General features: G+C 43.8%; 1 protein-coding gene across 1 annotated transcript; it reads left to right on the forward strand.

Annotated features, from left to right (window-relative positions):
- Positions 1–8,176: 8,176 nt before the first annotated feature.
- SCGB1D2 (secretoglobin family 1D member 2) lies at positions 8,177–10,750 on the forward strand. The gene is made up of 3 exons (NM_006551.4): positions 8,177–8,300; positions 9,227–9,414; positions 10,608–10,750. Exons 1-3 carry the CDS (start codon positions 8,246–8,248, stop codon positions 10,635–10,637), a joined length of 273 nt encoding a protein of 90 aa, NP_006542.1. The 5' UTR covers positions 8,177–8,245; the 3' UTR covers positions 10,638–10,750.
- The last annotated feature ends 7,042 nt before the right edge of the window (positions 10,751–17,792 follow it).

Here is a 17,792-nt window from a genome sequence, read left to right on the forward strand (position 1 = left end):
TATCCTCATCTCTCACAAAAACCAACTCAAGAAGGATCAAGGACTTAAATCTAAGACCTGAAACTATAAAAATTCTAAAAGATAACATTGGAAAACCCCTTCTAGACATTAGCTTAGGCAAAGACTGCATGACCAAGAACCCAAAAGCAAATGCAACAAAAACAAACATAAATAGACAGGACTTAATTAAACTAATAAGCTTCTGCACAGCAAAAGAAACAACAGAGTAAATAGCCCACAGAGTAGGAGAAAATCTTCACAATCTATACATCCAACAAAGGACTATTATGCAGAATCTACCAGGAACTCAAGCAAATTTACAAGAAAAATACAAACAATCCCATCAAAAAGTGGGCTAAAGACATGAATAGACAATTCTCAAAAGAAGATATACAAATGGACAACAAACATGAAAAAATGCTCAACATCACTAATAATCAGGGAAACACAAATCAAAACCACAATAAAATACCTCCTTACTCCCACAAAAATGGCCATTATCAAAAAATAAAAAATAATAGATATTGGCATGGATGTGGTGAAACGAAAACACGTCTACGCTGTTGGTGGGAATGTAAGCTAGGACAACCACTATGGAAAAGAGTGTGGAGGTTCCTTAAATAACTAAGAGTAAAACTTCCAGCAATCCCACTACTTGTTATCTGCCCAGAGGAAAAGAAGACATTATATGCAAAAGATACTTGCACACACATGTTTATAGCAGCACAATTTGTTATTGCAAAAATGTGGACCAGCCCAAATGCCCATAAGTCAATGAGTGGACAAAGAAATTGTGGTATATATATATATACACAATGGCCATAAAAAGGAATGAATTAATGGCATTTGCAGCAACCTGGATGGAACTGGAGACTATTATTCCAAGTGAAGTCACTCAGGAATGGAAGACCAAACATCGTATGCTCTCACTCATGATTGGGAGCTAAGCCATGGGGATGCAAAGGCATAAGAATGATACAATGGACATTGGGGACTTGGCAGAAAGAGTGGAAGGGGGTGAGGGATAAAAGACTACAAATTCGGTTCAGTGTATACTATTTGGATGATGGGTGCACCATTATCTCATAGATCACCACTAAAGAACTTACTCATGTATCCAAATACCACCGGTTCCCCAAAAACCTAAGGAAATAAAAATTTTAAAAAAAATTCAGAATCATTTCCTTGCCCTAAAAAATCCTCTGTGCATTCCCTTTTTGTGCCCCCTCCTCACTAACCTCTGCCAATCACTGATCTTTGTCTCCATATGTGCTTTTCAGAATGCCATACTGTTGGAATCCTACAGTAGGTAACCCTTTCAGATTGGCTTCTTTCACTTAGTCATATGCATTTGAGAGTCCTCTTTGTCTTTTCATGGCATAATAGCTCATTTCTTCTTGGTGGCGAATCATCTTCCACTGTGTGTACCAAAGGTTAATAATCCCTGTACCTCTTAAAGGACTTCTCAGTTGCTTCCCAGTTTTGACAATTTTCAATCAAGCTGCTATGAGTATCTGTGTCCACATTTTTGTGTAGAAATAACATTGCAATTAATTTAGGTCAATATCAAGGAGCAAACTCACTGGAATTTATGGTGAGAATATGCTCACTTTAGTAAGAAACTGCCACGTTGTCTTCCAAATGGTTGTACCATTTTGCATTCCCACCAGTCAATGAATGAGAGTTCCTGTTGCTCATCATCTCGCCAGCATATGGTGTTGTCAGTATAGGATGTTTGCTTAAAAGGAAAAAAAATAAAGAATAAAAAAAGAAATCAACTAAATGAAGGAGCTAGTATGAGTCATCATTAGAAGAATTCATTTGAGTCCAAAAGTGAAATGCAAGGAGGAGCTGAGATTGAAATTAATCTGTATCCAACTTCATCCCACCTCACATGTCACCATTGCCAGATGTACAACTGAGAGAAGCACTTGGTTACTTGACAACTCACACACCATCAGTGCCAGAGCCAGACCTTCAGGCTTTCAAGCTGTGCAACTGTGGACAGGTTTCTTTTTTCTGCAAGTAAGTTGCCTCCACTATAATTTTGGAAATGTAATAGCTTATATCTTATAATTTTGTGACAAGGACGTGATTATGATAAATTGTGTTTTGCAGGTTTGGACATACAAACCGAAAACTATTGCTACCATTTTTTGTTACCACTATTCTCATTAGCTACAGAAGATTTTGCAACTTGCAGGACCTCCCTGTTTCTAAATAGAATGAACTCACTGTTGGTTTGGTGGCTGGATTTTCATGGAACATTCTATTCTATGAAGTTAAGTGAATGTTTGTGTGATCAATAATAAAAAGTGGTTTGTTTGCTGAATGAATGAGCCAAGAAAAAGAAAGGGCTTAGGAAAGAATGTGCTCAAGGCTCTTTTGGCCTTCTGTAAATCTTTGGCTTTACAGAAGCAGGTAGCTCAGAATTGAGGTGCTTGGAAAGTGTAATTTTGATTTCAAGCTTAGGTGATTTAAGTTTTTTTCATTGTGGTACGAAAATGTAAAAAGTGCCATTTTAAGCATTTCTTAGTGTGCACCTTAGTGGTATTAAGTACATTCATGAGAGAGATTTGTTGTGCAACCAATCTCTAGAAACTTTCTCTTAAAAACCTGAAACTCTCTATCACTAAATGATAACTCTCAATATCTTTTTCCTGGAAACCACTATTCTAATTTCTGTTTCTATGAATCTGGCTACTGTAAATACCATGCATAAGTGGAATCATACTATGTTTGTTTTTGTGACTGGATTATTTCATATAGCATAATGTACTCTAGTTCATCTATATAGAATTCTACAGCCTGTGTCTGAATCTTCTTCCCTTTTGAGTCTGAATAAGATTCTATTCCATGAATGCACAGATTTGCTTCATCCATTTATCTGGGGATGAACAATGGATTGGATCCCCTTCCTGATGGATGTGAATAGTGTCCTTAAAGACATGCGTATGCAATATCTCTACAAGATCCTGATTTCAGTTTTTGTGGATGTATCCTCAAAGGAGAAATTCCTTCATCCTATGATATTTTCTATTTTAATTTGAGAGGCCCCCATACTCTTCCATGGCAGCTGCAGATTTTACATTCCCACCAAATGTGCACAAGAATTGCTACCTCTGTACATCCTTGTTACAATATTATATTCTAATTTATTAGTTTGCTTGTTGGTCTGTTTTATAATAGCACCCTAAGGGGTATGAAAAGTCTATGTTATTTTGACCTGAGATTTGAAAACCAAAAAAATCAGTGGGGTAGCAAAATCTGAAGGTGTCTCACCTCTCACACCCATTCTGCTGTCATAAGCCATAGAGGAAAGTGGAAGCTCCCCTCCATTTGGCCCATCCTGTTCTCCAGCCACAAACCCATCCCTGTTTTACCATGTGCACCTGTCTGTTTCAGGTTCACCTGGCTATCTGGTGTCCCTCACAAGCCACTTGGTTTATACATTGTCGATTTCTCTCATGTTGTTCCCTGGGCTTCTTCCACACTTTGTGTGTGTGTGTGTGTGTACGTGTATGTGTGTATGTGTGCATTTGCATGTATGTGTGTGTCTGTGTGCATGTGTGTATGTGTGTGTGTTTGTGTGTGTCTGTGTGTGTATGTGTGTATGTTTTGTGTGTGTCTGTGTGTGTATGTGTGGCTGTGTGTATGTGTATCTGTGTGTGTGTATTTGTGTGTATGTGTGTGTCTGTGTGTATGTGTGCATATGTGTGTGTCTGTGTGTGTGTGTGTTGTGTGTGGGTGTATGTGTGTGTGTGTGTGTGTGTGAATCAAATCCGATGTGTCCCTGAGCGGCACTCAGATATGCTCCTTTATATTCCCAGCAACACGTCTCAGTGCCTTCACCCAGAACGTTCCATGCCTCCCCCTGTTTCCCTGGAGCACTCTGCTCATGGCTGGGGAAGGGCAGAGGAGTTGTCCCCATGGGCTGCTTTGCTGCTGGGACCCTGGGAACTCAGAAGCTCTGAACCTCCTAATTAGAAGAGAAACTAAACAGGAGCTCCTATTAGTCAATATAGAGCTTGGTGAGTTGATATTAAATTTCCCTGAAATTGTTTTAGAAGTCTTGGCTTCCACTAGAAGATTAGGAGTTGGAGTGGTTGATGCGGCAAAATCCTCGTTTCACTGTTCTCTCTAGGGATGTGGAAAACCGATGAGTTTCTTTCACAGTCACCACCACACTACTCATCTTTCACCCTCAACTGCCCACAGGGAAGCCTGGCACCATGAGCATTCTTTTACACTGAACATGAATGTCACCCATTTAGCAGTTTGTTGATTCATAATTTTATGATGTATTTGTTAAAAGATTGTTTGCTGATCTTCTTCTCCATGCCAGCCGCTGTGCTGAGCCAAGATGAGCAAAAGCAGATACTGGCCCTGTGATTATGGAGCTAACAGTCCAGGAAAACTTGTATCCATGAACTGATTACACATTTGTAAAATAACAGCCTTGGAATTGCTGCAAATGAGAGGTGCATGGTTCCAGCAGTGTCTGTAAAGGGCAACACTGACCAAAGCATCGGGGTCAGGCAACAATGCCCGTGGGTGGAAAGAATGAACTGAAATATTGCATGAACTCGGTAAGGAGGAGGGACCCATTAAAAATATCAATGATGAAAACTAAAAAACCCTGTGCAGGTGTTAAGGGCAATAGGAATGATAAAAGTACAAGCAAACAGTCCTCTCTCAGAGATACACATCCTCCCCGGTGGACCATAGAGCTGACAAGGTGAATGCCAAGCCTGTGCCAGGACAAGCTCTGGTCCACAGTTAGGATGAATGCCTCACAGACCTGTCTGCTGTGAAAGACGTCTCAGTCCTGAAGCCCAAGTCCATGGGTCTGTAGACTCAGAGATCATGAACTGGATTTCTTTTTCCATTTATGTCAGAGAGAAATGGTGTATCTAGGTGTCCATGTAGTTCTGAAAGTAGGTGATTTAGTGGATTTTGGCTGTGCTCTAAACTAGGAACTACTGGCAAACCATGACATATATGACAAGTGGGACAAGATAATGGGAGTTAGAATTTATTGAGAACTACTATGTACCAGAACTTAGTTAACTTTAAACACACACACCCCCATGAACACACTCATTTGATCATCTATGAACCCAATGATGTAGGCACAATTACTAGCCTACTTTGACAAATAGGAAAACTGAGGTTACATAAGCTGAATAATTTTCTTAAGGTCCAAGAGCCCACAAATGAGGCTGTATCTGTGAGCCTTGTATCTGTGAGCCTCACCACTGGCCCTCCCACTCCTTGGTGGTGGCGGAAGAGCTGGCTCAGGGATTTCCTCATGATCCTGTGTGATGGAAGTGACAGCCACTGTTGCCCTCAGCTGGGGCTCAAACAAACCTGCCAAGTTGTCTCTGATGACACAGCCCATAAGGTCCCCTCTTTACATACATGTCTTTCTGTGTGGTTTTCAGCCCTCCTGCCCATCAGAAACACCAGAGCAGTTTAAACAGTGTAGGAATCAGGGAGTCAACCCAACGCTACTGAATCAAAATCCCCAGAGAGAGAAACCTGGGGAGTCAGTATATTTTAAAAGCTCCAAGTGATTCGATTGCGCAGCTGCGAATGGAAAGCTCGGGCCTAGGCTGTGAATCCTCTCAAAAGTAAGTTCATTTAAGAGAGAAATTTCTTGATGTGTTGCTGGATTCGGTTTGCCAGTATTTTATTGGGGATTTTTGCATCGATGTTCATCAGGGATATTGGTCTATAATTCTCTTTTTTTGTTGTGTCTCTGCCAGTCTTTGGTATCAGGATGGTGCTGGCCTCATAAATTGAGTTAGGGAGGATTCCCTCTTTTTCTATTGATTAGAATAGTTTCAGAAGGAATGGTACCAGCTCCTCCTTGGACCTCTGGTAGAATTCGGCTGTGAATCCATCTGGTCCTGGACTTTTTTTGGTTGGTAGGCTATTAATTATTGCCTCAATTTCAGAGCCTGTTATTGGTCTATTCAGAGATTCAACTTCTTCCTGGTTTAGTCTTGGGAGGGTGTATGTGTCGAGGAATTTATCCATTTCTTCTAGATTTTCTAGTTTATTTGCATAGAGGTGTTTATAGTATTCTCTGACGGTAGTTTGTATTTCTATGGGATCGGTGGTGATATCCCCTTTATCATTTTTTATTGTATCTATTTGATTCTTCTCTCTTTTTTTCTTTATTAGTCTTGCTAGTGGTCTATCAATTTTGTTGCTCTTTTCAAAAAACCAGCTCCTGGATTCGTTGATTTTTTGAAGGGTTTTTTGTGTCTCTATCTCCTTCAGTTCTGCTCTGATCTTAGTTATTCAATGCCTTCTGCTAGCTTTTGAATATGTTTGCTCTTGCTTCTCTAGTTCTTTTAATTGTGATGTTAGGGTGTCAATTTTAGATTTTTCCTGCTTTCTCTTGTGGGCATTAAACTTATCCACCATGATCAATTGGGCTTCATCCCTGGGATGCAAGGTTGGTTCAACATACGTAAATCAATAAATGTAATCCAGCATATAAACAGAACCAATGAAAAAATCACATGATTATGTAAACTAGTTCAACCATTGTGGAAGTCAGTGTGGCGATTCCTCAGGGACCTTGAACTAGAAATACCATTTGACCCAGCGATCCCATTACTGGGTATATACCCAAAGGATTATAAATCATGCTGCTATAAAGACGCATGCACACGTATGTTTATTGCAGCACTATTCACAATAGCAAAGTCTTGGAACCAACCCAAATGTCCAACAATGATAGACTGGATTAAAAAAATGTGGCACATATACACCACGGAATACTATGCAGCCATAAAAAATGATGAGTTCATGTCCTTTGTAGGGACATGGATGAAGCTGGAAACCATCATTCTCAGCAAACTATCGCAAGGACAAAAAAACAAACACCGCGTGTTCTCACTCATAGGTGGGAATTGAACAATGAGAACACATGGACACAGGAAGGGGAACAGCACACACCAGGGACTGTTGTGGGGTGGGGGGAGGGGGGAGGGATAGCATTAGGAGATATACCTAATGTTAAATGATGAGTTAATTGGTGCAGCACACCAACATGGCACATGTATACATATGTAGCTAACCTGCACGTTGTGCACACGTACCCTAAAACTTAAAGTATAATAACAAAAAAGAGAGAGAAATTTCTAGTGATTGATTTCCTGCTCACACCACACAAAGGCATCACAGCAGGAGGGCAGGAGGGTGTGTATTGCTTTGTCTGGGTGCTTCCTTCCCTTTCTATTAAAAATGGGATTGGCTCAGGCTGCACAGCTAGATTTGAAGTGGAAAACTTGAGCCTAGAGGTTGGGGGGAAGTGACCACTCACCCTGATCATCTGTCTCTTCTTTTCCATCTTCTTCCCCTCCTGGAGCCCCAGAGCAAAGAACTCTCAGTACCTGTCCGATGCATGATTGGCTCTGGACACTCCAAAAGCTACTTGGAAAAAGTTAGGCTATGTAATCATCAGGTCAACCCATCAACATGTGGGTGGCTACACATCACAGAAAGCTTGCTCCTCGTAGAGAGAAAATGTGAGTCTTGGCCATATTTATAGCTGCACTCATAAACAAGACTCAGGTTTGGGAGTGAGACAGGCTAGAGAACAGGTGCAGCAGTTGCTTTTCCCCAGGAAATCCTCCAAAGGTAAGATGCATTGAACTAGGTTTTAGGTACCTATGCAGTGAACATGGTGGTGATGGGAGGGGCTGAGGGGAATAGGTCTTGTTTAGACTTGCTCAATGTGCAACTGAAACAAGCCTACTGGTTGTCAGACATGCAGGGGGATCAAAGCAGGGTTTCCTTATGTCCCTGCTCCCCCATAACCAGAACACAGCCTTCCAGCTTCCTGTGCCTTCCAAAGTCAGAATTTACCTGTGCCCTTGAACTGATACAAAGAAAAAAAATAATCAGCAAAACTCAGAAGGAAACAGAATCCCAGGAATATTTCCAGAGGTGCCTGAACATTCACCTGGAACACAGAGCAGAGTTCCTGCAGGGCTACCCTCCTGTGCTCTGCCCCAGTCAGAGTGCAGGGAGGCGTGGGGAGGTGACACAGATGGATGGCAACAGCCCTGGGAAGGAGAGGTGGGCTGGGAGCCAGGCCTCATGACCAGTACCAGCTAGACTCCCTAGGTACAAATAGCCCTGGGCTCTGCAGCTCCACAGGCTCCTGGGGTGGAGTCCAAATCACTCATTGTTTGTGAAAGCTGAGCTCACAGCAAAACAAGCCACCATGAAGCTGTCGGTGTGTCTCCTGCTGGTCACGCTGGCCCTCTGCTGCTACCAGGGTGAGTACATCAGTCATGAGTCTAGCTCCAGCCCCTGGGAAGCACCCTCTTCCAAGCACGAGGTCACCTATTCAGGCTGGGGTTAGGATCTGCACAAAACCAAAATTCCAAACCTTTTTCTGTGCTTGTTGAACAAGCCCCTCATCAAGTTCAGAGCTATTTCTTCTACTCCCCAGCACCTACGAAGTTTTATTGAAAATCAGTGCAGGCAAATATTAGGAATTCTTCTGCCTGAGCTTCACTCCTGGGTGGGATCTGTGTCAGATGATGTAATGTGAGGTCTGGGGTGAATCTGGGATCCGCCACTTCCCAGCCCTTTGACCTTGGGCACAATGCTCACCCTCCCTGAGCCTCCTCCTATCACTGGTAGTTAGCGCTTCTGCCAGGAGAGGCTATGAGAATGGAGTAAGAAAGATTAATACTGTCAAAAGAGTCTAGCTGTGGGCTAAGCATGGCGGCTCATGCCTGTAATCCTAGCACTTTGGAAGGTCAAGGAGAGTGAATTGCTTGAGCTCAGGAGTTTGAGTCCGGCCTAGGCAACGTGGCGAAACTCCAGCTTTACCAAAAGAAATATGAAAAATCAGCTGGACGTGGTGACATGCACCAGTAGTCTCAGCTACTTAGGGGGCTGAGATGGGGATATCGCTTGAGCCCAGGAGGTAGAGGCTGCAGTGAGCCATGATTGAGCTACTGAATTCCAGCCTGGGTGACAAAGGGAAAAAAAAGAGTTTGGCTGTTGATATGAAGTGCTTTCCTTTATTGTGAGAGCTTGAGGAAGTCACACCTGAAGGGTCTGGCATTGTCATCAGCACAACAAATGTATGTGAACATATAACCCAGGGGATCCTGTCTGGTCTAACGTCAGGGAGCCAAAGAGAAAAATCGACTTTCCTAACATCAACTATATTTTTATTCTTTTGCTGCAGCCAATGCCGAGTTCTGCCCAGCTCTTGTTTCTGAGCTGTTAGACTTCTTCTTCATTAGTGAACCTCTGTTCAAGTTAAGTCTTGCCAAATTTGATGCCCCTCCGGAAGCTGTTGCAGCCAAGTTAGGAGTGAAGAGATGCACGGATCAGATGTCCCTTCAGAAACGAAGCCTCATTGCGGAAGTCCTGGTAACTTCTTTCTCCTTTATTTGTTAAGGCTTCTGGTCAGCTGCACAGTATGAAGTGAGGTCAGCTTGCTGCTCTGTTGGGGACACAGGTGGTGGGGCAGCTGCCTTGCTGGTCACCTCTTGAGAAGGTCACCTGGGGCCACAGGGTGGGTGCCACCATTTCACCTGCAGAATTCAACTCAGCTGCACACAGCCTCCTGCATGTTCCTCCTTCTCATGTCACCTGCCTGGATGCCATGTCCCCAGAGTGTGCTGAGGACATGGGGAGTGAGCCTGGGCCCAGGCAGAAATGGTAAAGGGCCAAGCATGGCCGCCTCGCTGCTGGGAGCTTTCCTGAGACCAAACTGCCCTCATGTAATGGACACAGTCACTGTGGAATGTCCTGGGGAGCATGGGAGCCTTGAACAGGGAGAGGAAGGCAGGGAGGGACATAGAGCAGGGGCTCCTGCAGATGTAGCACTGGCAGGCTGGACTTCTCTGCAGCTTCTGCAGAGCCAGGAAGGAGCCCCTCCCAGCTCCTGAGACCCCATACTCCCCTCCACACCCACGACACTCTCCTGACCATGGCCAGTCGTCCAAGACCCTAGCTAGTCTACCTCCTGCAGTGCCATGGAAGCGGGATGTTCTCACTCTGTCTTTCTCAAGAAATCAGAGGTTTTCCAGGGGCCTCTCTGCCTGGCTGCCTCTGAGTTGCTGTCCTGAGGTTTAGCTGCAAATGCTCATGGAAGCTGCAGGCTCGGGACTGAGAGGTGCTCGGGCCCTGAGGCAGAATTCCCACATGGGGAGGCTGGAGTCTCCTGGAAGCCAAGCTTCCCAGAAGCCCTCTCAGCCCTGACCAGCCTCTCAGTCCTGGGTCCCTCACTGCAGGAACCAGGAGACTCCAAGCCCTGGGACAGCCCAGGCAATAACCTCTTGCTGCTCTCTCCAACCCTCGTCACTTGCTTCCATGAGGATCCTGGGCCTCATTCCCGGATCACCCCAGGGCTATTGGCCTGGCAAGAAAAGGCTGCTCCATCACCGGCATGGGTGCTGTGAGGCCACCAGGTCTAGGCCTCAGTTTCCCAAACTGAGTTGTTGCCTCTGCCCTTCCAATTGCCTTTGGGGGCAGAATCCCACTGGCCTCTTGGATGTGAGCCTGTCACCTCCAGCAGCAGCATGACTGACCCCACCTTCTTTTTTCTTTTCCTATTTTAGGTGAAAATATTGAAGAAATGTAGTGTGTGACATGTAAAAACTTTCATCCTGGTTTCCACTGTCTTTCAATGACACCCTGATCTTCACTGCAGAATGTAAAGGTTTCAACGTCTTGCTTTAATAAATCACTTGCTCTCCACGTCTCCACTGGTCTTGTTATAATCCTGCAGTCTCGAGCCTTGAGTACAGGGTGGTTTCCATAGTGGAGTGGCCTTTTGCTGTGGGTGATAATTAACTCCAGAGAACCAGCATCCTGTTACTAATGGGGCCTGAGTCCAGGTGTCACAGAGGAGAATATTTGGTAGGAATTATCCTGCATTCCTTACAGATTTCCCATCTTGCAGCCGTGAATAAAAACCATGGTAACAAGGACACAGGAATTGAAATGTTCCACTGGTCTTACACTGAGAGAACCCCCAGCCTGAATGGGTATCCAGGCCGAGGGTTCCCACCTATCAGTGACTTTACTCTGATGTCCCCTCAGACCCACAGTCAGCCTGCTTGGTGCTCTCTCTGCACTATGCTTTCTGTCCTCCGTCATGTCCAGTATACTTCATTTTCCACTTATCACAATTTGGGGTCCTCTTTAGGTTTCAACCTGGAGTTCACATTGTTTTACTCCCCACGCTCAGAGCACTCCTCAGCGTCTGCATCACTCACCAGCACCTGAGGTGAATGCTTCCTTCCTCAAGCTCTCCCAAGAGCTCCAGAGACCAGCACCCCCTGACAACTGGACAGCTCCCAGTGCGCACTCCACAGTCATTTCAGGAGCAGGATGTAAAACTGAGCACAGGGTCTGCCCCCAGCCTGCTCTCCCTTCCATGAGCCCATCCAGGCTAAGGCACCCACCCAGCAAGCACCCTGACCAGGACACAGAGAGACACCACAGTTTCCCTGCTTGGTGTCCTGTGACTACTGGAACAAAAATCTGCAAACTTCATGGCTTAAAACGACTGATTCTCAGGCATCTCTGGGGGTCAGAAGTCCAACATTAGTATCACTGTGAAGACGTTAGGGGGCAGCAGGGCTCCGCTCCCTCTGGGGACTCTTGGGGGGAATTCACTAAGGGTTGCTTCTGGCTTCTGGGCTAATAATTGTCCTGGTCCTGTGGCCACATCACTCCAACCTCTGCCTCCATGATATGTTCCCTTCTTTTCTTTCTACATCAACCCCACCCACCTTGGCTTTTTTTTTTTTTTTTTTTTGAGAAGGAGTCTCGCTCTGTCGCCCAGGCTGGAGTGCAGTGGCACCATTTCGGCTCACTGCAAGCTCCACCTCCCGGGTTCACGCTGTTCTCCTGCCTCAGCCTCCCGAGTAGCTGGGACTACAGGCGCCCGCCACCATGCTCGGCTAATTTTTTGTATTTTTAGTAGAGATGGGGTTTCACCGTGTTAGCCAGGATGGTCTTGATCTCCTGACCTCGTGATCCACCCACCTCGGCCTCCCAAAGTGCTGGGATTACAGACGTGAGCCACCACCCTGACTTTTAATCACAAAATACACAGGTTTGGTTTTGGGACCCTGCAGATTATTCAGAATAACACCCCATCTCATTATGTTTGATCGTGTCTGCCAAGTGCTTTTTTTGTCATATAATGGAACATTCACAGATTTCAGGAACTAGGATGTGGGTATCTTTCAGGGTGGACATGAGGCAGCCAATGACAGCTCCCCTCCCTCCTGACTCCTAACAGTGCACTATGTTCTATTCCCTCCATTGCCCCAGAATCACCTTTACGAGTTCCTTCTTTCCCATCACACAGTCATATCACAGTCTGGTCTATGTCCTCCCCAGCTCTGACCAAATTCTTCTACATTGTCTTGCAGCCTCTATGAACTCTTCTTACTATACATCCTCCTCATTCATGCCAGGGTAAGTCTCCTAAATTTAAAATGTGATCCTATTCTCTTTTCAACAACTCTAAATGACCAGAGGGCACTGGTTCTCAAGGCTTTCAAGTAAGGGAAATTATTTTTTTACCCCAAGCCCATCTTTTTATGATAATAGTCACCATTACACAATTGGCAGGAGAGTAGATAACAGTTGTTATTAATTAAACATTGCTTTTAAAAGAAATTTGTATTTTAATCACACCAGAAATTATGTACACTTAAAAATAGAACCAAGATATATCAAACTTACTATCAGCAGGCATAGCGTGCTGTTGTGTGTGGCAGATACAAGGATTTATGGAGCTCTCACATCACTGGGAGAAAACCAGAGAGGAACCACTGCTGGAGGAGCGAGTCCACACCCTTGTGTTGCACACAAGGACCTTCAAGACCTGCTTCTGGGAGCCTTTGTCTCCTCCTCTCCTCTTCCCTGGGGCACTCTGTGCTCAGCCATACTTGTTTATATCTCATTTTTTGGGCCTCATGTGAGTCACACCCCTGCATAAGTGCATAGGGGTCTCCCTTTCCCTGTATAGCCATCTCTCACGATGACATCTGACAATCTCATCTATAGAATCCACTTCATATGCCTCCTCCTCTGTGAAGCCCTCTCAGATATCCACACCTTATATTTTATCTTTATACACATGTGCACCCACATGCCTAGACATTCCTCTTTTATTATCAGTTTACCTTTCTGTTATATAGGATGCATATCACAGCATTGTTGTGAGAACATATTAAATACATTAATACTATAAAGCACTCAACAAATTATAACAATCATTATTATAATGCTTACAACTACTAGAAGTTTCTAGTCATTGATCATCCTGATATGCATTTTGTTGGAAGAATTCCAAGTTCTCTCTCACTTCATCATCAGTAGTGCCCAAGAAGGTCCAAGATTGTTCCCACTAATGAACATGAGAATGACGAATGCCCTACCCAGTGGTCCTCAACCCTGGTTCTGTTTTGGAATCCACTGGGAAGCTGTCAAAATCAAGTGATGCCCAGGCTCCATCTAGTGTATATGTGTCTATCTCTGTGAAAGTAGAGCTCCTGCAGTCCCTGTTCTTGTGCCTTCAGCTCTATGGGTGCAGTCATCCAGTGACCTGGGGAGGCAATATCTGGGACAAGAGTCCCTTGTGATACTCACAGGACTCCCAGCATCACCAGGGCTGTGACCTGGAGGCCTTTTCCTTAGCTACTTTCATCGCTTTTAAAGATTGGAGATTGCAAAGTGCTCACTCTTTTCACCATTATACAGCTAATCACATAGGGATCATCTGTGGTAAGGTTTTCCTTCCTGAGTTGCTATTAAAAGAGTGTGACGTGAAATTCAGTAAGACTGCACAGGCTGGGGCAGGGAGGGAGGGCATTAGGAGTCATTATTTAAGGGCTATTGAGTTCCTGATTGGGATGATAATAATTTTCTGGGAAGGAATATTGTGAAACGTTGTGAATGCCTTTAAGGCCACTGAATTATACACTTAAAGATGGTTTGAAAAGGGCAGGGCATTGTGGTTCATGCCTGTAATCCCAGCGGTTTGGGAGGCTGAGGCAGGTGGATCACGAGATCAAGAGATCGAGACCATCCTGGCCAACATGGTGAAACCCTGTCTCTACTAAAAATACAAAAATCAGCTGGGTATGGTGGTGTGCACCTGTAGTCCCAGCTACTTGGAAGGCTGAATCAAGAGGATTGCTTGAGCCAAGGAAGCAGAGGTTGCAGTGAGCCGAGATCGCGCCACTGCACTCCAGCCTGACAGAGTAAGACTCCGACAAAAAAGAAAAAAAGCACACACAATAAAAAAAAAACAAAACAAAACGAAACACTCTAAGGGTTGCTGCTGTCTGGGAGGCAGCAGGAAGATACCTGTGAAGGGGAGCTGGGCCTGTATTTTACCTCTGGACACACCCCCCCCAAGACCTGTCGGCATCCCACAGTCAGCACTTCTCTCCAAGTCCATGCTCTCATTGATTCACTTCCTGGATTGCTTCTTTGATGGAGGTATCACAATTTCTAAGAAAATCTAATCCAGAAACCTGAGATTGAGGTTTACCAAGGATGTAGGATTCACCCATGCAGGGTCTCCAGACTTTTACCCCTTAAGGCTGTCTCCCATGACCATTGAACTAAGTAGAGTCTCATAATTTCCCCCCTGGACAAATATTATCAATCTCTGCCTAGGCTCTTTTTCTCAAATATCTTGTCCCTATGATCCATCTGGCATTTTATGATAAGCCCAATATTCTTTTTTTTTTTTTTTTTTTGAGACGGGGTTTTGCTCTTGTTGCCCAGGCTGGGTTCAAGCGATTCTCCTGCCTCAGCCTCCCGAGTAGCTGGGATTACAGGCATGCACCACCACGCCCAGCTAATTTTGTATTTTTTAGTAAAGATGGGGTTTCTCCATATTAGTCAGGCTGGTCTCGAACTCCTGAATTCAGGTGATCCACCCACCTCGGCCTCCCAAAGTGCTGGGATTACAGGCGTGAGCCACCACACCTGGCCTGATAAGCCCAATATTCTGATAACAAAGCTTAGGTTTTGTTATAGGCATCTTTAAAGTATATCTTCAATGGATCTCAATTTTCTTTTAATGAAATAAAGCTCAATATCTCAATTCATAAATTAGAATATTCAAGTTTTTGTAATAATCACAACCTCACATTGTTTAAGAATACATGTTGTTTTCTTTCTTTCTTTATACTTCCATCTATTCTCTCCCAATGAACTAACCATGGTTTCTGACAGAGTTAGAATCTAGGAAAAGAGGAAAGAGAAGGAAATCAGAAAGCTCTGAATTAACTTGCCCTTTTTTGTGATTGGTTCAGGCTCTCTGGGTCTGTCAGATGTTTTGTGTCCTGGACAGTTCCATGAGTGCTTCTGAAAGCCCACACTACCTAGGTAATTTTCTAGAATAAAAAGATTGAAAAATCTATAGAAATCCACTGATTTCCCATACCAAAACAATTTTGATCATATTTTGGAACATCATCTTAAATAAAAGCCCCCCACTTTTTTTTTGGAAGAAACAGCTAGACACTTACAAGAATGGAGAATAATAATGGAACCAACACAAGAACAGGAAGGCAGAGCAGTAACACTCAGAATTCAGAGTATTTCAACCTGTAATTCTACACAGATGTGAATCTACATCCAGGCTACAATTATTCAAGCATGAAGACAAAATAAAGATATTTTCAGGCATGCAAATCTGCAAACATTTTATCACCAATGAACTTCTTTTCAGAAAGTTATTGTAGGATATGCTCCACCAAAAAGAAGTAGAACAAGAAAGGCAAAGATGTGGGATTGGATACACAGGGATTATAATAGGAGTTACTGGATACATCAACAGAACAGCGAGAAAAGATTATTGAGAACACGGAAATACCCCCACAGGAAAACAAGCTGAAAGTGAGAATGGGACTGGGAGGTCTGCAGAGGAAGGGCAAGGAATAATCACTTTTAATAAAACACTTTTTTGCATTATATTCCTTTTCAAAACATGCATCTATATCAACTTTTTAAAAATTAAAACTGTAAAAAAAAAAGGATGTTGGAAAACAAATAAAAAGGAAAGGGAGCATAGAAGAAAAGGGGCAAAAAAGTGGGCAGAGAGGAGATAATTTGGCAAAAAGAAGTTAAGAAGATGCAAATGGCCTCAGGTCAAAGCAGAATCTACACCACACTGTACCATGGAGGAAGATAGTATATTTTGCTGAAAGAATTAATGAATTTCCTTAAAGAATTAATTAGCAAGTTGAATGGGAAGACAGGACGTAGAACTAAAGAAAGACACAATGTATATCACTGAGATGAGATCTTACTACACAAATTAAAAGCCTGCAGACATTCAAGGAAATATCAAGGAAGGCTTGCAGAAGAGGTGATGGCTGAGTTGGACCATGAAGCACCGAGAAGATGAGGATGGCAAGCAGAGGAAGCAGGGCCTCCAGGTGCATGGAGCAGCCTGGGCAAAGGCATGGACAGAAGGCTGAGCCAGCCCCCTGGAGGACAAAGATGACCACACTCCTTTTGGCATCTTGAAGGCTCACAGATATTTCTCTAGCACAGGGTTTCTCAATCTTAGCAGTAGTGACATAGAGGGCAAGTAATCCTTTCTTGTGGGATCTGTCTTGTGCATTGTAGGAGGTTCAGCAGCACCCCTGTTCTCTGCCCACTTGATGCCAATAGTATCTGGGCTGCCATACAGCTGTGACAACCAAAAACATCTCCAGACTAATGTCTTCAGGGATGGGGAAAGTTGGGAGTAGATGTGTCCTAGTTGAAAGTCACTGCTTTGGAGTGGGAAACCTTGTCAGTTCTGCTATACAACTATACTAATACTTCTAATGATCAGACTTTCACAAAGTTGGAATTACTACAGGTACAAGAAAATAGGGACATTGAAAATAAAACAAATACCAACTTGATGATGAAAATGTTAGTGCAGATATTTGAAGAACCAAATCAGCAGTCATACATGTACAGGATTAACTTTTAACCACATACTATAGGGAAATGTCAGGTTGAGTAAAGTTCAGGGTTTGGTGAGGGAGCCAAGGAGAATTAGCCAGGGGCTGACACCTGATTCTGGCTCTGCTTCCAAATTCAGCTCCTGGTCCAAACTCATTAGATAAATCCAAGTCATATGCTGTTATGGTAACAGTCACTTTTGGGGAAAAAGGACACTGAGGTGGCCTAGGCACTGGTGGTACAGTCTCCAACTACCTCTTCTTTTAGCTGATTTCTTCCCACCCTGATCCCAAAGTCCTCACCCAAGAAAGAACATCATTGGTGTTAGTGTCCAGAATGTGACTGTGATGTGTGGTTAGTGTTGCATCTGATTCCTGCCTTTACTAAAGATTCAAGTGTAGATGAGCACCTATTTCTAAATACACCTTATAACATAACATGTAATATCATCAGTGAACTCTTGCAAACAGCAAATTCTGCTCTGAAAAATAATTAAAAATTGTTCATTAGGCCCATACCATATGATGTTGCCATGCAAAGAGAGGATGTGCACAGGACTTGCTCTCAAGAAGCATGAACAGAAAGGAGGAGTTAACATCAGGGATCTGGAGATGTCAGAAGGGAGCTGCCCACAGAGAGCCACAGGGTCCTGTGAAGGAGGAGATCCCTGGAGATGCAGGGATCAGCAAAGAACACAAGACCTGCGTGTGTAGAGAGCCAAAGGTCCATGGATCATGACCAACTCAGCATTCCACTGGAGGCTATATGATCAAACAGCAAACTGTTTATCATGAATGCAGGATGTG

Source organism: Homo sapiens, chromosome 11, assembly GCF_000001405.40.
Source record: "Homo sapiens chromosome 11, GRCh38.p14 Primary Assembly".
Taxonomy (NCBI): domain Eukaryota; kingdom Metazoa; phylum Chordata; class Mammalia; order Primates; family Hominidae; genus Homo; species Homo sapiens.

What these genes read in the sequence shown, in the direction of transcription:
- SCGB1D2 (NM_006551.4), top strand. Translation starts at nt 8,246, where the DNA reads ATGAAGCTGTCGGTGTGTCTCCTGCTGGTCACGCTGGCCCTCTGCTGC. An exon ending in GGCCCTCTGCTGCTACCAGG is followed by an intron (nt 8,301 to 9,226) that starts GTGAGTACATCA and finishes CTTTTGCTGCAG; the next exon opens with CCAATGCCGAGTTCTGCCCA. An exon ending in GCCTCATTGCGGAAGTCCTG is followed by an intron (nt 9,415 to 10,607) that starts GTAACTTCTTTC and finishes TTCCTATTTTAG; the next exon opens with GTGAAAATATTGAAGAAATG.